This window comes from Homo sapiens, chromosome 1 (assembly GCF_000001405.40).
Source record: "Homo sapiens chromosome 1, GRCh38.p14 Primary Assembly".
NCBI lineage: Eukaryota > Metazoa > Chordata > Mammalia > Primates > Hominidae > Homo > Homo sapiens.
The window spans coordinates 17,117,981-17,140,740 of NC_000001.11; the positions used below are offsets into that span (position 1 = coordinate 17,117,981).

Below are 22,760 nucleotides of genomic sequence, written 5' to 3' on the forward strand. Positions count from 1 at the left end.
AGGGGAAGGCAGAGGTTGAGGCCAGGGACAGAGGCATGGAGTGGGTCCCTAGTCCTGGGGCTTGTTGGTATCAGCGTGGCCAGTGCCTCTGCAGCGGTGGCAGGAGACTGGTTGGGCAGGTGGGAGGGCTGCCAGGGCTGTGTGGGGAGACACATGATGGGTTGGTGGGGGCCTGGGAGAGGCAGGGTGCTCCAGGTGTCAGGATGATTTGAGAGCCATAAACCACGATGGTGCCTCCGTGTGAGTTCAGCTTGAGGCAGAGAGGATAGGGGACTCATCCGGTGTCAGCACAGGGTCCCACCTCAGAGTCCTGCATGCTCCCTGCCCCCAGCACTGACCCCTCCAACCCTAGCAATGGGGAGGTTTTAAATGCTTGGAATAGAGGGGGCAGATCAAACCCCAGCATAACCCCACCCTTTCATTCACACCAGCCACACCTTTCCAAGGCCCCGTCCCATTACTCAGGGAGACAGATCATTGGACTTGGCTGCTTTCTGGGATTGCGGGGGGAGTGGTAGGGCCCTACCCTACCTTCAGCTGTCTCGGACATCCCGCACTCTACCAAGTTCTTGGACAGAGAGAAGGGGAGGGAGCAGAACTCTGAATCAGGATCCTTTTCCAACAAAGTACCCCGCTATACACCCCAAGTCCCCGTCGTCAGCTGGGTAGAATATTGTCCCTCTGTGGTCTCAGAATGAAGTCAGGGGAAGGTATCTGGGGACACGGAGCTCAGGGCCAGTGCCTGGGGACAAGCAACCACCAGCAGCCCCCACAGGGCGAAATCGGAGCCTGAGTAACCTCCAGGGCCGGATTCAGCCTCAGGGCAGCTCCCTTCGGGTCCTGCCCCAGTCCCCGGCAAGTCTCCGCGGAAGCTCCGCTGAACTGGGAGTGGGAAGCAGGAGAGGGGCTGGGTTGAGGTGGGTCCGAGGGGAAGTGAGGTGCGGAGGGGAAGTGAAAGGGGAGAGGACGGCAGGGAAGCTGAAGGGGTGTGAGGTCCCCCGGGAGGAGAACTGGAGAGGGCCAGACGGAGGGTTACGGGTGAAAGGGAGGGTCTGTGAGGGAGCTGGGGCTGAGGCTGTGTTAGGGGGTCTGGGAGAGTCTCAGGGTTTCTGGAAGGTGGACACAAGGTTCGGGGGTTGTCAGGTTTCTGGATGAGATTCTTAGGATTTCTGGGCTCGGGGGCTCGGGATGAGGGACAACTCGGGCTGGACAAAGGCTGTCCACGTCCCCGAGTCTGAGCGCGTCTCAGGATTTCTGGGCTCGAGATCTCGGCCCGGGCATCACGGTGGGCCGGCTCACCTGTAGACATCGGTCCAGAGGTAGGTGCCCAGCACGTACACCGCCTCCACGCGGCTCCCGTACTGCAGCCGCACGGTCCGCTCGCGCAGCATCCTCCCCGCCGCAGTGCCCGCGCTCGCTGGTCCGGGGCGGCCGGGAGCACCTGCAGCAGGTGCGCCTTCTCCAGCAGCCTGCGCCCCACGGCCCCGCGCGCAGCCTTATCCAGCGGCCGGTGGGCGGGGCGGCCCGCCCCAGTCCTCTCGCAGTGGGCTGCGGGCCTGTCCGTCAAGCGTGGTCCCGCCCCTAACTCGTCCCGCCCCGCTGAGGTCGTGGCGAAGTCATCAGGGACCAGTTTTGTGCTTTCCATGGTTGGATTGTCATTCTTTCATTCGACAAACCTTCGGTGGGCGCCCAGGTGTTGGAGGGCCCTAGCTCCCCTCCGGACGCCCCAGCCCAGTGGGGCTGAAAATGCAAATGTGGGAACACAAAGAGGGTGCCCTAACCCAGCCTGGGGGCCAGGAAGCCTTCCCAGAGAAGACGATCCTGGAACCTTCTTAAAGGAGGCGTTTGCAAATTAAAGGCGAGGAGAGGGAGCTGCCTGTGCAAAGCCGGGTGCAGCCCGGTACCCCCATCCCCCAACAGTCAGATGAACCTCACCATAGAGAAAACGGGAAGCGGTGGGGATGGGGAACCCGGCAGCTGAGGGAGACCAGGACGCCAAGCCAAGGCATTGGAGGGTGGGAGATGGGAGCCTGGAGTGGTTGTCTCCGCGAGCCGTGGTCGGGTGTGCTCGTGAAATGGGTCATTCTGGGCTGGGGAGGGGCAAGGAAGCCCCTGGCTGTGGCCAGAGCTGGAGAGGTGGGGACTGACCCGGCCACTGCTTAGGGACTGGGATTTTGGTGGCACCTGGTGACTGATAGGATGTGTGGGTGGAGGGAGAGGAGAGGGGTAAGGATTAGGGCCCCGGTTCTGGCCTGGGCCACCAAGGGAAGGGGGGTGCCACCCAGAGGTCATCGTGTGTCTCACAGAGGCTGAGATGTAGGATGACAATCAGTGTGGGCCTCGGCCAGCCCCTCCCATGTCCCAGCCCTTCCCCTGGGACCCAGTGGGAGTGCTGTTCAGACACATACATCAGCCCTGTGTGAGGAAGTGGTCTTTGGTAGGTGAGGACAGAAACTGAGGGGGGGTGGGCAGAGGCCGTGGGAGGGAAGGAGTGGGGCGGAGGGGATGTGTGTTTGGGAAGGAGTTAGAGCTGATGGAAGATGGAGCTCCAGGAACGGGTGCCCCCAGACAAGAGGGGTGAGGCCCACAAGTGCCCAGTGCTGATATACCCAGCCCTTGGACTCCAACCTTCTCCCTGAGGCGGCCCAAATTAGGAGGTGGTGAAGAGCCCAGCTGCTTCTGAGTGGCAGGGATTTGGGAGGAATGTGAGTGGGGAAGAGGGAAGGCCCGAGTTTTAGCCAGGAGGTCATTTGTCCCCCAAAGGCACAGCTCACAGACCCAGGGAGAGGCCAGTAACTGTTTTTTTTTTTTTTTTTTGAGACAGAGTTTTCCTCTTGTTACCCAGGCTGGAGTACAATGGCGCCATCTCAGCTCATTGCAACCTCCGCCTCCCAGGTTTAATTGATTCTCCTGCCTCAGCCTCCCAAGTAGCTGGGATTACAGGCAGGCACCACCACACCCAGCTAATTTTGTATTTTTAGTAGAGACGGGGTTTCTCCATGTTGGCCAGGCTGGTTTTGAACTCCTGATCTCAGGTGATCTACCTGCCTCGGCCTCCCAAAGTGCTAGGATTACAGGCGTGAGCCACAGCGCCCGGCCGAGGCCAGTAACTTCTGATGAACTCCAGGCACCCGGCTGAGCACATCCTCCAATCAGGAGGAATCTCTCGGGTGGCCACCTGCCAAACTGGGACAAAACTTGTGTAGCTTGGAGAGACTTCGAGGCGCCCCCAGAGGTGAGCTCGTGTCTGGGCACCCCTCTGCCACGAGTGACTTTGGAGCCCTTACTGTGTGACAGATAACGGGCACCCACCAGGGTTCTCACCTTCCTGGGGCTCTAACTTTCATTTGACTCATGGGGAGACTGGGGCCAGAGTGGGGGAGGACACTGTACCCCCCACTGACGGAGACCCCGGGCAGCTCATAACAGGACACTGGGCAAGATAGTGATAACATCAGACCGCAATACCCAGGGGAGCTGGAGTAAGAGCGGGCACTTACTGCTTTCTTTCTGTGGGTCAGGCACTGTTCCAAGCGGCTCTTTTCATGTATTAGAGTTAGATCACTGAACCCTCCCAGTAACTCCGCCACTTTACAGATGAAGAAAGTGAGCTGTGAGGAGGTGGGGGAATTGACTCTGGGTTGCAGAGCTCCTAAGAGTGGCAGAGGGAGGAGCTTGCAGGGCCACTGGGGTGGAGGCAGGGGGCAAGGCCGAGTGAGGGCAGGGGCAGAATGCTGTCCATGCTTTGTAGATAAGGAAGTCGCAGTTCTAGGCCCAGCTCTGCTTTTGTGCCGCCTTGGGCCAGGTACCCTGCCATTCGGAGCCCCATTTTCTGCCTCTGTGAAGTAACTGATCCCTCAGCACGGTGTAAGGACGGTATTAAACGAGACAACAAGGTGCAGAAAATACTAGCACAGAGCCTGGCACAAGGCTCAAGAAATGAAGCCCCCTCCCCTTAAAAACCCAATTCAGACCTGGCCACCCACACTCAGGACTCCTGCCCGGGCTCAGGCCATCATGTTGGGCCCAGAGCCTGGTTGATGAGACAGGAGTTTCCTGGTGCCCAGAGGTTTAAAATAGCTGAAGTAGTCACAGCTGTTGGTGGATTCAGGGCCGGAGGTCGCATGCATCACGGCTGCTCCCACCTCTCCCCTGGGATCCGGAAGAGCCACAAAGCATCTCACGGTGTCTTTTGGGGACTTAGCTTAGGCCAGTTCCTGGCACAGACCCGCACCCACCCCTCCAGCAAGCGCCCCTGCCAAGCCTGTGGGCAGGGTGCCTGGGCTAAGAGGGGCTCTTCTGAGCTGTTTTCTGTTAGGTTCCTCCACTGGGTGTGGGGTCTCCGGGCCAGGCCTTGGGGGAACCAGGGAGGCCACTCAAACTTCGACAAGCCTGCTTTGAGGAAACAGACAGCTTACTGAGAGCACTATACATACAATAATTTAAAAAGAAAGAAAAAAATGCACAAGTATTACCTGGTCATTGTGGAAAAGTTAAAAAAAATATGATCACCCATGACCCTAGTACCAGAGATCAGTCTGAATCTATGAGTATGATCTGGCCGGGCTGCCCACAGGCTGCTGTGGGGCAGCACACTTCCTGAGCCCTTGCGCCATGCCAGGAGCTGTTCAGAGCCCATTCACACACACATCTCAGCCTGTTTAATCCTCACGACAGCCCTGTGAGGTGAGAGCTATTATTATCTTCCATCTGCACAGAGGCACCAACCAGCCTGCAGTGAAGAGCATGGACTTTGGTCTTGGTGGACCTGGGGTCAAGTCTGGCTCTGCCCCTCACTAGCTGGGGGCCTCTCTGGGCCTCAGTTTCTTCTTCTATAAAGGAGATACTAGGAATTGTTATAAGGAACAAGGAATAACAAGATGATATCCAGTAAGGTACTGCACATCGTGGCCTGGCACAGACCCAAGTTCCAGTAGACGGTAGTTATTTCCTATGCGTATATAGTTATTTTAAGTTTTTGTAAACATGGGCTTCTGACTACATGCTGTTTGATAACATACTTCAAAGCTTCCACAATGTGAGAGGCTGGGCTGGCTGTGGCCAGGTCACACAGAGCATTGTAAGTCGTGGAAAAGGCTTTGGGGCTTTATCTTTATGGGGTCATGGGGGAAGCCTGGGAAGGACTTTGGAAGGTGTCAACGGCACGATGTACACTTTAGGAAAATCACTCTGGCTGCTGTAGGCAGCTAAATTTGACAGGAATTCTGGCAGGAGACCAGAGAAAGGAAGAGGTCGGGGTCTGGGCCATGGATCCCCAAAGCAATCCTTCTGTGGCCAGGGATCGCCCCAACCCCTGACTCTGCACCATGGGGACCTGCAGTCATACCCTCAAGAGCAGATCCCCATAACCCTGGCCCTGCCTGGCCCCGTCACATTCCCTTTCCCCTGGCAAAGCCCACCCTTTGGTCTCACTCCCTTGAGAAGAGTCTCTGGGATGGGGGCGTTGATTCAGCCTCTGCCTCAGCTCTCGGTCCTGAGAGACATCGTGCTCAGAGGCGGGGAAGGGCTGGGGTGCTCCATTGTTCTAATACTGCGTGAGTTCAGAATGAGGAAGTCATGTCTCTTCTGCGTGCTGCTGTGGCTGTACCCCACTCGGGGGTACATTTATATATGCAGAGAGAGAGATTTATTTTAAGAAATTGGCTCACATGGTTGTGGGGGCTGACAAGCCTGAAATTTGTAGAGCTGGCCAGTCAGAAATGGGAGAAGAATTGATGTTGCGGTCTTGAGTCTGAAATCTACAGGTTGGAAACAGCACGGTTTCTATGTTGCATTCTGGAGGCTGAATTGCCTCCTCTTTGGGAAACCTCAGTCTTTGTTGTTAAGGCCTTCAACTGATTGGATGAGGCCCACCCACATTTTGGAGTGCAATCTACTTTACTCAAAGTCTACTGATTTAAACGTTGATCACATCTGAAAAATATCTTCACAGCAACATCCAGACTGATGTTTGACTGGATGATGGGGTGCCATAGCCTGGCCAAATCGACACAGAAAATTAACCATCACCATGCTGAAAGATGGGCTAAGGCTTTCATTCATTAGGTCACCATTTATGGAGCATTTATTCCCTGCCAGGCACCTGCGCTAAGCACTGTGTGTATGTTATCCCATTGAATCCTTGCTACAACCCCAGAAGTAAGTATTTTTCTTACCCTTATTTTATACATCCAAGGGTAAGATGACTTGTCCGGGCCAGGGTTCTACCCTTAGTCAGTGAAGCAAAGCTAGAAAGGTGAATTCTGGAGAAGATGTAATAAGCCAGTTGTCTGAGGGGCTGCCAGGGGGCCAGAGTAAGCCTGGGAGGTCCTAGACCCATGCTTTCCAACATGTAGCCACTGCCAGACAAGGTTTATGTGGCTAATCTGAACTGACACATGCTGTAGGTGTAAAACAGTGGTCCCCAACCTTTTTGGCACCAGGGACCTGTTTTGTGGAAGACAGGCTTTCCATGGATGGGGGTGGGGATGGTTTCGGGATGATTCAAGCGCATTACATTTCTTGTGCACTTTATTTCTATCATCACATTGTAATACATAAGGAAACAATTTTACAATTCACCGTAATGTAGAATCAGTGGGGGCCCTGAGCTTGTTTTCCTGCAACTAGATGGTCCCATCTGGGGGTGATGGGAGACAGTGACAGGTCATCAGGCATTAGATTCTCATCAGGAGCTCACAGCCTAGATCTCTCACCTGCGCAGTTCACAATAGCATTTGTGCTCCTATGGGAATCTAAAGACAAAACTTCCCTTGCTAGCCCAATGCTCACCTCCTGCGGTGTGCCTGGTTCCCAACAGACCACAGACTGGTAATGGTCCATAGCCTGGGGGTTGGGGACCCCTGGTGTAAAATACAGATTTCAAGGAGTTACAAGGAGAAAAAGATGGTAATTTTAAAAATAATTGACTCCATGTTGGAATGATAATATGGTGAATGTATTTCATTAAATGCAAATGTATTATTAGCTGGATGTGGTGGCTCAAGCCTGTAATCCCAACACTTTGGGAGGCTGAGGAGGGAGGATCACTAACATTCAGGAGTTTGAGATGAGCCTGGGCAACATAGCAAGACCCTGTCTCTACAAAAAAATTTAAAAATTAGCCAGGCATGGTGATGCACCCCCTGTACTCCCAGCTACTTGGGAGGCCAAGGTTGGGGGAATCTCTTGAGCCCACGAGGTTGAGGCTGCAAGTGAGCAGTGACCGTGCCACTGCATGCCAGCTGGGGCGACAGAGCAAGACTCTGTCTCAAACAAACAAACATCAAAAAGCCCAAAGACGTATTGTTAAAGTTAATTGTACCTATTTATTTCAGCTTTTAAAAATGTGGCTACTAGAAAATGTGGTTACCTGTGAGGCACACATTTGTGGTTGCCATCATTTTTATTTTTCTTTCTTCCTTTTTTTTTTTTTTTTTTTTGAGACAGAGTCTTGCCCTGTCACCCAGGCTGGAATGCAGTGGCATGAGCTTTTCTCACTGCAACCTCCGCCTCCTGGGTTTAAGTGATTCTCATGCCTCAGCCTCTGGAGTAGCTGGGACCACAGGCACGCGCCACCATGCCCGGCTGATTTTTGTATTTTTAGTAGAGACAGGGTTTCACCATGTTGGCCAGGCTGGTCTCGAACTCCTGACCTCAAGTAATCTGCCCACCTCGGCCTTCCAAAGTGCTGGGATTACAGGCGTGAGCCACTACGCCCGGCTGGTTTGCATCATTTTTCTATGGGTGGTGCAGATCCAGACGCCTCTAAATGGTTAGGCAGGGACTTGTTCATGATTTTTCTGGGTCGAGCCTGGGTACAGCTGGGCACAGTAGATAAATATTTGGTGAAGAGAGTGGAATTGCTTCAGAGTTCCCAGAGGGCAGCAGTGGGGTTAATAGCAAGAGTTAAAACAGGGAACACGCGAAGGCCGCAAGAGGCGGAGACCACAAGGTGGCGCCAGATCCCCATCTTGGAAGCAGGGAGGCGGCGCTGGCCGGCCTGAGCCCGAGAGATCAGAATGCCTCCGCCTCTGTCCCACCCTGCTCAGCACCTTCCTTTAGCTTTTGGGACCCTCTTTTTCCTGGTGGTTTGGGTCAGAATTCAGGGGCCACCTTTGTGTGAGGTCAGTGGCAGGTCCCTTAGAGTGGGAACTTCTCGCTGGACAAAGGGGCGACTGAAGCTCAGAGAAGGATGAGAGGGGCCCAGAGAGGGGCAGTGACCGGCCGAAGGGCGCAGAGCCAGTTGGTAAAAGAGGGAGGTCTTTTGTGTCTCATCCTTCAGGCCTGTCCTGTTACCTCAGTGCCTTTGTCCTGTGAGCCTGGGTCGTTGATTCGTTTTAAAAATCACTTGATAAACAAATCACAGAGTCAGGTGCTGTGCGGGTGGGAGTGGGGACACAGGTCCATCCTTATGAGCAACCTAGCAGGAGCAAAAAACATGCACGGATGCTCACAAACACATGCACACACACAACATGCACACACGCACATACACGTGCACACACACACGCACGCATGCACACACATGCACACACACACACCCTTGTGTAGGAAGAACATCACGCAGTCATTTACAACCACATTGGAAGAAGGCGCTATAATCATTTCTGCCATACCCCATGATGTGGTCACATTTTCCATCTCGAGAATCAGTCCACCTGGATTGACATCCTAGCCCTTCCTGGCTTAGGAGACCTTGGACAAGTCATCTCACTTGAGTCTCAGTTTTCTCATCTGTGAAATGGGGGTTAATCATGGCACCTCCTTCCCAGGTGGTTGTGAGGTTTAAACAAGATAATGGGCTGGGCGCAGTGGCTCACGCCTGTAATCCCAGCACTTTGGGAGGCCGAGGTGGGCGGATCATGAGGTGAGGAGATCGAGACCATCCTGGCTAACACGGTGAAACCCCGTCTCTACTAAAAATACAAAAAAAAATTAGCTGAGCGTGGTGGCGGGCGCCGGTAGTCCCAGCTACTAGGGAGGCTGAGGCAGGAGAATGGTGTGAACCCGGGAGCCTGCAGTGAGCCAAGATCATGCCACTGCACTCCAGCCTGGGCAACAGAGCGAGACTCTGTCTCAAAAAAAAAAAAAAAAAAGATAGTAGGCTGGGTACGGTGGCTTATGTCTGTAATCTCACTATTTTGGGAGGTCGAGGCGGAGGCAGGCAGATCGCTTGAGCTCAGGAGTTGGAGGCCAGCGTGGGCAATATGGTGAAACCCCGTCTCTACCAAAAATGCAAAAAAATTAACCAGGCGTGTTGGCGTGTGCCTGTGGTCCCAGCTACTCCGGAGGCTGAGGTGGGAAGATTGCTTGAGCCTGGGAGGTAGAGGTTGCAGTGAGCCGAGGTCGGCCACTGCACTCCAGCCTGGGTGACAGAGTGAGACCCTGTCTCAAAAAAAAAAAAAAAAAGGATCTCCTTTGGTTTTCAAAAATTATTATTCCACTTACTGTCATTTCAAATTCAACAATCCCACTTTAGCTTTGAGTTCAAGTTAAAAATCTTCTCTTAAGGACAAATTCCACTTTTTTCTTTTATTTGCTAGAGATGGGGTCTCACTATGTTGCCCAGGCTGGTCTTGAACTCCTAGGCTCAAGCAATCCTCCCACCTCAGCCTCCCAAAGTGCTGGGATTACAGGCATGAGCCACTGTGCCTGGCCTATATGATTCCACTTCAATGAGGTACCTACAATAGTCAGATTCACAGGGACAGAAAGTAGAAAGGAGGTTGCCCTGGGGGCTGAAGAGAGAGGGGAATGGCAAATTGTCGTTTAGTGGGCGTAGAATTCTAGTTTTGCAAGATGAAAAGAGTCTTGGAGATTGGCTGCATTTAACAATGTGAACGTACCTAACACTCTGCTGAACTGAACACTTACAAATAGCTTACATGGCACATTGTATGGTATGTATATTTTACCACGATTAAAAATTTAAGAAAAAATTTAGGAAAAGTATTCTTTTAAAATATAACAACTTTAGTGGGCCAGGCATGGTGGCTCATGCCTGTAATCCCAGCAGTTTGGGAGGCCGAGGCAGGTGGATCACCTGAGGTCAGGAGTTCAAGACCAGCCTGGCCAATATGGTGAAACTCTGTCTCTACTAAAAATACAAAAATTAGCTGGGCATGGTGGCGCATGACTGTAATCCCAGCTACTTGGGAGGCTGAGGCAGGAGAGTCACTTGAATCCGGGAGGCAGAGGTTTCAGTGAGCGGAGATTGCACCACTGCACTCCAGCCTGGGCGACAGAGCGAGACTCTGTCTCAAAAAGAAAAAAAAACTTTAAAAATTATTATAAAATTATTAAAATGATACAACTGAATATTTGGTTCCATTGACAATCTTGGCTAATTAAACATGCATGAAAATATAATTTAAAATCTGTCAGAACCCCCGACACACTTCAGCCTTGAGAGAGCTGTGACTGGGATCTGAGTCATGTGCCTTTTATTCCTCAGATTGTAGATTAACTCACTTTCTTATTTTTCTTATTCTGTACAATGACCAGAGAGAATTAAAGAACAGCAGGGACAAAACCCTCCTGCCTTCTTAATTAATGACCCTGTGACTCATCTACTTCCCCTTTGTTGTCCTGCTCTGCGTAGAACAGATGACAGGAAACGCATAGCTATCATACCCTTCACAAAAAATGTGAAATATGCCCTCCGCCAAAAGAAACACTGCCCATAACCAGTCAAATGGCTGTAACTATGCGCCAGCCTAGTATGAAAAATGTTGTTATCTGGCTAAAAATTCCTCTGTCCCTGCCTCTATAAATGAAAACTTCACTTCCCTACTTCGGAATGCTGAGTTCATTACTTTGGAGTTGAGGTTTCTGGGTGGCCGTTCTCAAATCTTGTGCTTGAATAAACTCTATTTTATTTTACTTTGGTGTATTTTACATTTTTTTTTATTATTATTTTTTGAGACAGGGTCTCGCTCTGTTGCCCAGGCTGGAGTGCAGTGGCACAATCACAGTTCACTGCAGCCTCAACCTTCTGGGCTCAAGTGATCCTCCCACCTCAGCCTCAGTAGCTGGGACTACAGGTGTGGGCCACCACACATGGCTGATTTTTAAAATTTTTTGTAGAGACGGTGTCCCACTACGTTGCCCAGGCTGGTCTCGAAGTCCTGGACTCAAGGGATCCACACAGCTTCCCAAAGTGCTGGAATTATTGGCGTGAGCCACTGTGCCTGGCCTAAACTCTTTTTAAATTAGACTCTGACGCTCCTGGTTATTTCAGGTTGACACACAGTTAAACATTTTTAACTGCATGTATAGATTTAACATATTCAATTTCTTTTAAAAATACTTCAGTTGCCTTAATAACAAACACAACTTTCTCAAGCACTTAAATTATTCTTAGAAATCTGGTAACTTATGCTTATCATGAATTCAAATTTTTATAACTTTTTAACACTTCTGTCAAGCATAGTAAAATTTCAACTTAAAATATCACAAGTCTAAATCAATCAATGATTCATTTGTGCATTTTACTTTATTTTTGAGACGGAGTCTTGCTCTGTCGCCCAGACTGGAGTGCAGTGGCATGATCTCGTCTCATTGCAACCTCCATCTCCCAGATTCAAGCGATTCTCCTTTGTCAGCCTCCCAAGTAGCTGGGATTACAGGCATCCACTACCACGCCTGGCTAATTTTTGTATTTTTAGTAGAGACAGGATTTCACCATGTTGGCCAGGCTGGTCTCCAACTCCTGACTTCAGGCGATACGCCCACCTCGGCCTCCCAAAGTGCTGGGATTATAGGCGTGAGCCACTGTGCCCGGCCTCATTTGTGTATTTAAATTAAAACCTTAAGACTGACTTTTTATTCACACAGACTGGGGTGTGCAATCTTTTGGCTTCCCTGGGCCACGCTGGAAGGAGAAGAATTGTCTTGGGCCACACATAAAATACACTAACACTAATGATAGCTGATGAGCTAAAAAAAAAAAAAAAAAAAAAAAAGAATTGAAAAAAAATCTCTTAATGTTTTAAGAAAGTTTACGAATTTGTGTTGGGCCGCATTTAAAGCTACAGCTGCATTCAAAGCCACTGGCCAAGGGTTGGACAAGCTTAACATAGCCCATATTCTCTTAAATATTAAAAATATTTCAAATTCCAAAGTTGAAATTGTTTGATTCTCTGAAACATTTCTTTGCTCAATTCTTGTCAAGCTTAAAAAATGAGAGCCTACTAAGGCAATGATGTTGTCACACCAAGAAAATTTCGAGCTTAGTTTTCCAACCCATTTTTGGGGTTCCTACCTCCTCTAAGATTCCTTAATGTCCACGGAAACTTCAGGCTTGGATGGAGGTTTTGTCCAAGGTCTTGATAGGACACAAGTCCTATTGTTAGTCATTTAAACAGGATTTCCCATAACCTAAAAAGGGTGGTGGCATAGTCTGTGTCCCCAGGGTTCAGCATATGCATTTCCTATTTCTTAAGTCAGATCTGGGGCTAAGTAATACCCTCCCAGGTAGCTTCACCACTTGTTTGGTTTCAATTGGTGTTTTAGTCCACTTTGCATTATAAGGAATGCCTGAGGCTGGGTAATTGATAAGGAAAAGAGGTTTATTCAGCTCATAGTCCTGCAAGCTGTATAAGAAGCGTAATGCCTGGATGACCCAGCCTTGGCAAAATACTAAAAGCAAGAAAAAAATAAAAATGAAAAGAAGCATTGGCAGGGTGCAGTGGCTCACGCCTGTAGTCCCAGCACTTTGGGAGGCCGAGGTGGGTGGATCACCTGAGGTCGGGAGTTTGAGAGCAGCCTGGCCAACATGGTGAAACCCCATCTCTACTAAAAATACAAAAATTAGCCAGGTGTGGTGGTGGGTGCCTGTAATTCCAGCTACTCAGGAGTCTGAGGCAGGAGAATTGCTTGAACCTGGGAGGTGGAGGTTGCAGTGAGCCGAGATTGTGCCACTGCTCTCCAGCCTGGGTGACAGAGTGAGACTCCGTCTCAAAAAAAAAAAAAAAAGACAAAAAGAAATATGGCGCTGGGATGGAGCCCCAGAAGACAGACTCTACTAAGGCAATGGTGAGGGGAAATGTGGGGTTGGAGCCCCCACAGAGAGTACCCACAAGGGCACTGCCTAGCACAGCTGGGAGAATGGGGCCACTGCCCTCCAGACTCCAGAATGGTAGAGCCACTGGCAGCTTGCACCCTCAGCCTGGAAAAGCTCAACTCCAACCTGTGATAGCAGCTACGTGGGCTGTGCCCACCCAGCAAAGCCATGGGGCTGGGGCTGCCCAAGGCCTTGTGAGCCCACTCCTTGTGGCAGAGTGCCCTGGATGTAGGATATGGAGTCAAGGGGATTATTTTGGAGTTTTAAGATTTAATGTCTGCCTTGCTGGGTTTTGGACTTGTATGTGGCCGTTCCCCTTTCTTTTTTTTTTTTTTTTTGAGATGGAGTTTCGCTCTTTTTGCCCATGCTGGAGTGCAGTGGCACAATCTTGGCTCACTGCAACCTCCACCTCCTGGGTTCAAGCAATTCTCCTACCTCAGCCTCCTGAGCAGCTGGGATTACAGGCATGCGCCACCATGCCCGGCTAATTTTTGAATTTTTTTTTTTTAGTAGAGACGGGGTTTCTCCATGTTGGTCAGGCTGGTCTCGAACTCCTGACCTCAGGTGATCTGCCCGCCTTGGCCTCCCAAAGTGGCCTGTTCCCCTCTGTTTTCGCCACGTTTTGCCTTTTGGAATGGGAATCTTTACCCAATGCAAGTACCACATTGTATCTTAGAAGTAAATAACTTGGTTTTCATTTTATAGGATCATAGGTGGTAGAAACTTGCCTTGTGTCTTAGATGGAACTTTGGACTTTTGAGTTGGCAGTAGAACAAGTTAAGACTTTTGGGAACTATTGGGAAGGGGTGATTGTATTTTGCAATATAAGAAGGACATGAGATTTGGGGTCCAGGGGCACAATGATCCAGTTTGAATATTTGTTCCTTCCAAATCTCATGTGGAAATGCGATCCCCAGTGTTGGAAGTGGGGGCTAGTGGGAGGTGTTTGGGTCATGGGGACAGATCCCTTATGAAGGGATTTGTGCCCTCCTTGTGGTCATGAGTAGTTCTCACTCTATTGCCATGTGACATGCCCGCTCCCATTCGCCTTCTGCCATGATTGGAAGCTTCTTGATTCTGCCATGATTAGAAGTTTCTTGAAGCCCTCACCAGAAGCATGGCGCCAGCAGATGGTTTTACTGCTTGATTCTATTCTGGATTCTGTTCAAAGACTTTTTATCTCTTGGGGACCACTCTGCTACAGGTATTTAAATGACATCCAATGGAATCTCCTCACTTTGGTTCCTGGGGACATTTCTAAGGTTTTTATGGGGACAGTGAGTCACAGCTTAAGCAACCAGGACTCAGCTAAAGAAATTGGGTGGTGCACACCTGTGCTGTAGGCCCACCTACCCTGGAGGCTGAGGCAGGAGGATTGCTTGAGCCCAGGAGATCGACGCTGTAGTGAGTTATGATCACACCACTGCATTCCAGCCTGGGTGACAGAGACCCTGTCTCAAAAAAAAGAAAAAAAAGAAAAGAAGGGCTTGGTGCCCTCCTCGTGGTAATGAGTGAGTTCCACACTCTTTACTGATAATGAGCTGGGGGAGTGGAGGTGGACTCCGGGGTGGGGGCCTCTTTTCCATTCAGGTTTTGGCTTCTCTGGCCACTCCTTCACTCTCTAGCCTCGATTATTTTCCTCAGACTATGTCACCAGCTGAAAATATCTTATGTAGGCAAAGAAAAACATGAGGCACCCAGTTACATCTGAATTTCAGGTAAACACCAAATAATTTTTCCAGGTTCAAAATATTGCATGGGACATTCATCGTTTCTTCAAGATGCACATTTGACTGAGCTCTCTGTTGTTTATCTGGCAACCTTACTTATGTCAATGATTGCCTGTTCCACATTCTCCCCAAATACCCCATAAGCCCACGAGGGTTCAGTCTGTCTCTGTCATGTTCATTGCTATGTTCTTGGTGCCCTGTGAAGGACCCAGCTCATGGTAGGTACTCTGTGAATGAATGAATGATTTCAGAACCTGAGAGAGGTCCCTGTTTAGCAGCTGGTGCAGAGGGAGTGCTACAGGGAGGCAGGTTTAGGCTCTTCCCAAGGTCAGGGATGTGACTGAGAAGCCAGCTGCCTCTGGAGGGCATGTGTCCCCCTGGGGCATTTCTGGCTCAGACTGGTCCTCCCTTTTTGGGGGGGTTGTCCTTGGCGATCTATGAAGACATCAGAGTGAGTCTTTACTGAGTTCAACACTGAATTTTCTTCTTGAGGCTGCCTGGGCTCTGACTGGGTTTTACCCCATAGAGGTACAACCTGGACACATTTGTTGAGTTGGTTTTTCCAGTGTCTTACTGTGTGTGGTTGGGACCAGTGCAGACCCTGGCCCGGGAGGCTCTGCGGTGCCTCTGAGCCCTGACACTCTGTCTGCCCCACCGTCCTGAGGTTGAGATGGCCCCACAGCCAAGTGGAGTGCGTCCCTGAGTCCTGTGGAATCCCAGTGCCCACTCAGGGCATGGCTTCTGGAGGTCCAAGAGAGGACACAAAGGTCACACAGGTGGGCTGCAGAAATGTGTCCTCCCTTGGCATCAGGAGGGCGACCTCCTGCCCTCACAGGCTCTCACGGGCTCCAAGCAGGGGCCCCGGGGTCTCCTGTGGGGCTGAGCTGCATGGAGTCACCTTTTGTTGACTGAAATAAAGAAACTGAGGCAAAATTAATATAGAGAGTTTATTTGGGCCAAGGTTGAGGACAGCAGCCCAGGACACACTTCTTTTTTTTTTTTTTTTTAGATGAAGTCTTGCTCTGTCACCCAGGCTGGAGTGCAGTGGCACGATCTCCGCTCACTGCAAGCTCTGCCTCCTGGGTTCATGCCATTCTCCTGCCTCAGCCTCCCGAGTAGCTGGGACTATAGGCACCCACGACCATGCCCGGCTAATTTTTTTTTGTATTTTTAGTAGAGACGGGGTTTCACCGTGTTAGCCAGGATGGTCTCGATCTCCTGACCTCGCGATACACCCGCCTCAGCCTCCCAAAGTGCTGGGATTACAGGTGTGAGCCACTGCACCCGGCCACCCAGGACACACTTCTAAGATGCCTTGGGGAGTGCTCCGTCCAGCCTTCATTACGAGCAGGTTTTTGAAGCAGATACAGTTGTTTGACAGGCATTCTCACTGGGTTGCAGAGATGACATTGAGCTGTGATTGGCTGTGCATTGTTGAATGATAGGGTATGAAGTATGGTGTCCAGATGGCATTTTATGGCTGCCTGGTGTCAGTCAGTCCACATAGCAAGTGGCTTCAAGAAGTCATTATTTAGCTCAAGGCAGGAGAGAGACATGGCTGCTGTCACATTTCAGTGCCTCTCTGGGCCTGATCGTTTAAAGGGGCTCACATTCCTCAGATACAAAATTTCTCTTTTTTCTCACCTTGCTCCCCAGCCAGGGCTTGCGGTGGATGCCTGGCCTGCAGCTGAGGACTGGCAGCAAGGCCTGGATTCCCAGAGGTCCTGTGAGGGGTCAGAGCCTCAACCTCAGCCTTGATGGAGCTGACTGCGTGCACAGATGTGCCGACACTCTCACCCGGCCCAGACACACATGTATGCATGCACACACACACACACACACCCCTTGGGGGCTACCTACACAACACCTGTGCACACACGCCCACACACCTGTGCACCCCCACATGCACACACACACATCCCTACCTACCCACACACCTGTGCACCCCCGCATGCACACACACATATGCACACACCCCTACCTACCCACACAACACCTGTGCACACACACTTACACACCTCTGTACCCCCCACATGTACACACACTCTCACACATACACACATCCCTACCTACCCACACACCTGTGCACACACACACCCATACACCTGAGCACCCCCGCATGCGCACGCGCACACACACACTCCTATCTACCCACACACCTGTGCACTCACCCACACGCCATGCACCCACATGCACACACAGATGCACACGCACACACACACTCCTACACCTACTCATAGAACATCTCTTTGCACAGCCACACACCTGTGCAGCCCCACCCACATGCACATACACACACACAGCCCCCTACACCTACTCACAGAACACCTGTGCACACACTCACACACCCATGCACCTCCTCCATGCACACACAATCTCTTCCTCCATCCTTCCCAACCCCCCGCCCACCCCCACACAATTCCCACACACAGCATGTCCTGCCTCAAGCCTGTTGAGCTCCAGGAAGTATGAGCTCCTGGTGGCCTCCCTGACATACTCTTTGTGGCCTTTCTCCAGCACCTTGTGCTGGTTCTCAATGGCCTTTAGCTCAAAATAGTCTATGTGCCGAAGAGACATATTTTGGGGTGGCTAGCACCCCTCTAGGAGAGCTTGCCTCCCCTATGGCATGAGCGAGGAAATGATCCTTTTCCTCCACCCACCTTAGGCTTTCTGGCTGGGGCCCCATAAGGGAGACTCGAAAAAGACAGATGAACAAGAGAAAAACAAACCGAAGTTCATTAATAAGTGCATTGTGTATACACATGAGAGCACCCAGCGATCAGTAACCAAAGGGGTGGGTGGGACTGGGGTTTAAATATCAACAAAGGAAAAGGGGTTTTGAGTTTCTGGGCTGGGGAGGGCTGTTCTGGGAAGGGGTCAGGAGGAGATGTAGGTAAATAAGAGTTATCTTGTTCTGCAGAGAAAAGCCTCAGGTGACAGCAGGGCTCCCCAGGAGCAGCTCTCTCCCACGTATGAGACATCTTTACACGTGGAAATTTCCCTTACAAAAGGGTCTATTTGTACAGCTGCTCCATGACTTATGATGGTGCCTTTTCGACTTACAATATTTTCCATTTATGATGGGTTTATTCTGAGTTAACCCATTGTAAGTCCAGGAGTGTACTGAATGCAACATCACAGCCGAAAAACCCCAAATTGGACCATGGTAAGTTGGGGATTGTCTGCACTCAATTTTTAGGCAGTTAGGAGGAGATAAGGAGCTTTTCCTGTGGTGGCTGGTTCTCAACGGCCTTTAGCTCAAAATAATCCATGTGCCAAAGTGGCCTATTTTAGGGTGGCTGGTACCCTTTGCCAGCAAGCTGAAGAGCCAGGGTGCAGACTAGGCTTTCCGCTCCAGAATCTGTGCCCCAGATGTTCCACTAAGCTGCCAGCGGTAGCCCCATACAATCCGCATACAACACCAACACACGCATGAAATATACACGAGAGGGGTGCATCCCCATCAAGGTCCTCATGCACACACAGGCACGCCTATGCACGCATACCTCACTCTCCTCCTCCCAGTCCCCCTGCATCCACCCATCCTCACACAGGTGCATACACCCACACACCTAGTATGCATAGGCACAGATATACGCACACACGCGCACGTGCTCACTCTCCCAGTCTCCCACGCACAGGCAGAGTCACGTTCTTTGTGCCTGGAAAGGAAGCTGAGTCTGTAGAAAAGCTTGTAGCCGGCTCTGACTCTGACCCCAATCTCATGTCATCCTTCCACCACCTGTGGGGATCTTCAGAGTGACCCCTCCATCCTCTCCCAGGGCAACCCAGCACTCACCATTGTCACGTGCCTCTCAGGTGGCTGTGGGTCAGGGCCCTGAAGCAAGGGATCTGGAGGGGAAGGGGGACCCAGCCAATGGTTAATGGAAATAGGGTAACACGAGCCCCAACCCTCAGGATCTGGTAGGCAGCAGGGGAAGGCGGGCCTGAGCTGCACAGACTCGGCACTGTACCCTGCCTGCCCTGCAGAGATGAAGCTCCCCTCCAGAAAGGAGATTGGGGCACTGGGCTTGCATTTAGTCTTTTTTTTTTCTCTTTTTTTGAGATGGAGTCTCACTCTGTTGCCCAGGCTGGAGTGCAGTGGTGTGATCTCGGCTCACTGCAACCTCCTCCTCCCAGATTCAAGCGATTCTCATGCCTCAGCCTCCTGAGTAGCTGGGATTACAGATGAGCGCCTCCACGCCTAGCTAGTTTTTGTATTTTTTTAGTAGAGACGGGGTTTCACTATTTTGGCCAGGCTGGTCAAGTACTCCTGACCTCAAGTGATCCACCCACCTTGGCCTCCCAAAGTGTTGGGATTACAGGCGCGAGCCACAGCGCCCAGTCACATCTGGGTTTGAACCCTTGCTCGGCCGCCTGCCAGCTGGCTGGCCTTGCACAAGTTACCTAACCTCTCTGAGCATCAGTTTTTAAAATCTATTACATGAGGATGAGGACTATAAATAAATAAGAAGAGCTACTGCCTATGGAGCACTTACTATGTGCCAGACACTGAGCTAAGGAGATTAGATGGATTAATTACTGTAATTCTCCCCAAAACTTTCCAGGACAGATCTGTGTGAAACTGCCATTATTATAGGTCCAAAGAGTCAAATGTTGACAAATTTACCTGGTTTAGCCTAATATTATTATCCCTGTTGAGAGGATTCAGAATGTACTACCCCAAAATATGGTGCTTTGGATATTGAATATTTGAAACTGAAAGAATTTGAGAAACGGCGGGTGCAGGAAGGACTCTCCGAGCTTTCCTCTGAAGCAGATCACAAGACCTTCAGGTGAGAGGAGCCCTCCCTGTACCTGGAGGAAAGAAGCATCTTCACCTCTGAAGATAGAGGGACAGGAATGCCGAGAGGAATCCAAACAAGCCACCCTGCTGGGTGTTCCCAGTTCACTGCCCTTAGCTCAAATTCTTCTGTCCTTCACATTTTCCCATGACTCCCCACCCTTCATCCAACCCAGCAAAAAAAGGCTTAGCTCGAACCGCTTCTGTGGGTCTTCATTTTCTTATGAAGTCTCCTGTGTCATGTAAAATTTATATTAAATAAATTTGTGTGCTTTTTCCTTGTTAATCTGTTTTTTATTACAGGGGCTCCAATCAAGAACCTAGAAGGACAGAAGGAAAAGTTTTTTCCTTTGCTACCCTACGTTACAGATGAGGAAACTGAGGCTCAGAGAGGGGAAGCGACCTGCCCAAGGTCACACAGCCAGCACAAGGTAGAGCTGGAATTCGAACCCGGTCTACCTGGCTCTTCTGTTACACTTTCAGTCCCGATGCTAGCTTTGGTGTGAACCAAACCAGAACACGTCAAGTGTTTAGCACAGCACCAGGCAAACAGTAAGTGCTCAACAAATGCATGGTTCTTTTCCTTGTTTTCCTTTCTTGACTTTCAGGACAAAGCTCTTAACCCCTCAATGGGCTCAATGACTGACACTGGCTTGATGATTGACTCCGCCCACCACCATGTGTCTCTTACTCCAGTGCTGGGATGAAATCACGTGCTGACCCCTCCCCACATCTCACCCTCATCTTCCTCCATCATCCAAATAGTTCCTGGCAGAAGCAATCCATCCTCTTTCAGGGATTCGTCCTGGATGGGCACCTCCCTGCCAGGTGCACACTTCCCTTCTTCCTGGGCTGAGGCTCAACAGCTCATTCAGTTGGTTCTGCATTTGCCCATGGATGCCCTGATCTGGTGCAACCAGCCAGGGCTCTGGAGCCAGCATGCCTCCTGAGGTCTTTAGCTCATGTTGGCTGAGCACCTCTCCTGTGTCAGGCCCTGGGCTAAGTATTTTCTGTGTTACCGAATTTCATTCCCACAACAACCCGTTGAGGGGCGTACTTTTCTTCTTCTCATTTGACAGAAGCTGAGACTGAGGCTCTAAGACTTGAAGGGATTTGCAGACATGAGGTGATTTGTAGGCATGAGGATAAAGGAGGGCTGTGACAGCCACTCAGGAACACAGGAGCACATCCCTGTGCAGGTGATGTTTGGGGAGACCCTTGACAAGGGGCTAGCCTCTCAACAGGGAGAGGTGGGGAGGTGAGGAGTGAAGGGAAGGGCAAGCTGGGCAGAGGAGACCACGGGAGCAAGGCAGGAAGACAGGTCTGGCTTCTGGTGTCTTTAAGGAGTGGATGGAGAGGGTGGAAGGAAAATAGGGCTGGGCTGTGAAGCACCTTGGGCAGCAGCCAGTGGCCAGAAGACAAGGTCGCAGCAGCTAGGAAGCTCAGAGCATGCCTGAGCAATAAGACCCTTGGACGGGAATCAGGCAGGGAGAAGAAGGCTGCTGGGGGTCAGAAGGGATTTGTGCCCCAGATAGGACATGTGTTCCTGGCTTCTAGAAGATCCCCTCCACCCAGGACATTCTGATTTTCCATGGTTCTAAGAATCTGCAAGTTTAACACATTCTGGTTAAATAACTCCACCATTTTAATGGTTTTTATATTTTAACAATTTAGCACCCTAAGATTCCCTAATTCTAACATTTTCAGGGCCTAAGTTCCTGCATTTCTTCCATTCTAAACTTATACTAAAAGACTTAGGAGAGCTGGGTGCGGTGGCTCACGCCTGTAATCCCAGCACTTTGGGAGGCTGAGGCGGGTGGATCACTTGAGGCCAGGAGTTCAAGACCAGGCTGGCCAACATAGTGAAAACCCATCTCTACTAAAAAAACAAAAATTAGCCAGGCATGGTGGCACATGGCTGTAGTCCCACCTACTTGGGAGGTTGAGGCATGTGAGTCGTTTGAACCGGGGAGGTGGAGGTTGCAGTGAGCCAAGGTCATGTCACTGCACTCCAGCCTGGGCAACAGAGGGAGTGAGACTCTATCTCAAATAAATAAATAAATAAATAAATAAATAAATAAAAAGGAAAAAAAGAAAAAGAAACAAAAAGCTTAAGAGAACTTAAAAGCTCAGAGCTTGTATAATTCACACCTTCTGCAGAGTCTGAGCACTTCAGATCATGTAATCTGAAGATTCTATGATTAATTTCAGGAAGGTGCTGAGCATGTGGGTGGGGAAGGCAGGGGGACAGGTCTGGGTGCATAAGTATCACCCTGCCTCTCATGTCAACTTCCCAAGGGCTGGGTACAGAAGAGGCATCAGGAAGTATTTACAGAAAGACTGTTTGGGCAAGAAAGGACAGGTGTCTTAGTCTGTTTTCTGTTTCTTATAACAGAATACCTGAATCTGGATAATTTACAAAGAAAGGAATTTATTTCTTACAGTTATGGAGGCTGAGACGTCCATTGCCAAGGGGCTGCATCTGGTGAGGTCCTTCTTGCTGCTGATGACTCTCTGCAGAGTCCCATAGTGGTGCAGGACATCAGCTGGTGAAGAAGCTGAGTGCTCACAGGCTAGCTCAGCCCTCTCTTGCTTTTCTTATAAAGCCACCAGTTCCTCTCCCATGATCACTTAATGGATCAATTGATGGGTTACCTATTAACCCATTAATTCACTAATCCATGACTGGATTAACCCATTCATAAGGGCAGAGCCCTCATGACCCAATCACCTCTTAAGGGCCCCACCTCTCAGTACAGCCACATTGGGGATTAAATTTCAACATGAGTTTTGGAAGAGACAAATATTCAAACCATAGCAACAGGCCTGGCTTGTGGGTGGAGATGGGGGTTAGGGGTGGTTCTGAGTCAGGTTTGAACGGGAAAAGCTGGGAGGAAACAGTCAAGTGCATTTGCAGGGAAGCCCACACAAAGTTTCAGATAAAAGTTTGAGCATTTGAGTTGGTATTTGTTGGCATGCAACTAAGTGGGACTACAGGTCCAGTTCCATGACTGCTATGAAGCCAGGGTAAAACAAGAATTGGGTTGGCCAACTTTTTCTATAAACAGCCAGAGAGTAAATATTTTAGATATTATGGAGCGAGACATGTATTAAAATCTTTTGGCACAGATGCAGTGTCATTGCCTAATAAGCACAATGT

The 22,760-nt window shown here is 50.3% G+C and overlaps 1 protein-coding gene and 1 long non-coding RNA gene across 3 annotated transcripts in view, besides 4 other annotated features; one reads left to right on the top strand and one right to left on the bottom strand.

Moving 5' to 3' along the window:
- PADI2 (peptidyl arginine deiminase 2) overlaps nt 1–1,471 on the bottom strand; it is a 52,691-nt gene extending 51,220 nt beyond the window's left edge. For both annotated transcript variants that reach the window (NM_007365.3, XM_047442975.1), the window contains exon 1: nt 1,300–1,471. In NM_007365.3, the coding sequence (NP_031391.2) occupies nt 1,300–1,391 (92 nt within the window). In that variant the 5' untranslated portion in view covers nt 1,392–1,471. The remainder of the gene's footprint in view (nt 1–1,299) is intronic.
- Nucleotides 1,281–1,490: a silencer, noted in NCBI's record as "silent region_340". NCBI's record gives its function as "represses an Ori minimal core promoter by ATAC-STARR-seq in GM12878 lymphoblastoid cells {active_cell/tissue: GM12878}" and the evidence as "EXISTENCE:reporter gene assay evidence [ECO:0000049][PMID:35858748]".
- Nucleotides 2,062–2,596: an enhancer, noted in NCBI's record as "H3K4me1 hESC enhancer chr1:17446537-17447071 (GRCh37/hg19 assembly coordinates)". NCBI's record gives its function as "activates a minimal SCP1, AML or CMV promoter by ChIP-STARR-seq in primed H9 embryonic stem cells {active_cell/tissue: H9 hESC(primed)}" and the evidence as "EXISTENCE:reporter gene assay evidence [ECO:0000049][PMID:30033119]".
- Nucleotides 4,013–4,196: a silencer, noted in NCBI's record as "fragment chr1:17448488-17448671 (GRCh37/hg19 assembly coordinates)". NCBI's record gives its function as "represses an EF-1alpha promoter that drives an FKBP-Casp9 reporter gene in an ReSE screen in K562 erythroleukemia cells {active_cell/tissue: K562}" and the evidence as "EXISTENCE:reporter gene assay evidence [ECO:0000049][PMID:32094911]".
- Nucleotides 8,005–8,094: a silencer, noted in NCBI's record as "silent region_341". NCBI's record gives its function as "represses an Ori minimal core promoter by ATAC-STARR-seq in GM12878 lymphoblastoid cells {active_cell/tissue: GM12878}" and the evidence as "EXISTENCE:reporter gene assay evidence [ECO:0000049][PMID:35858748]".
- LOC105376808 (uncharacterized) lies at nt 17,685–20,975 on the top strand. The gene is made up of 3 exons (XR_947005.2): nt 17,685–17,962; nt 19,904–20,152; nt 20,680–20,975. It is a non-coding gene; the product is annotated as an uncharacterized LOC105376808 (long non-coding RNA).
- The last annotated feature ends 1,785 nt before the right edge of the window (nt 20,976–22,760 follow it).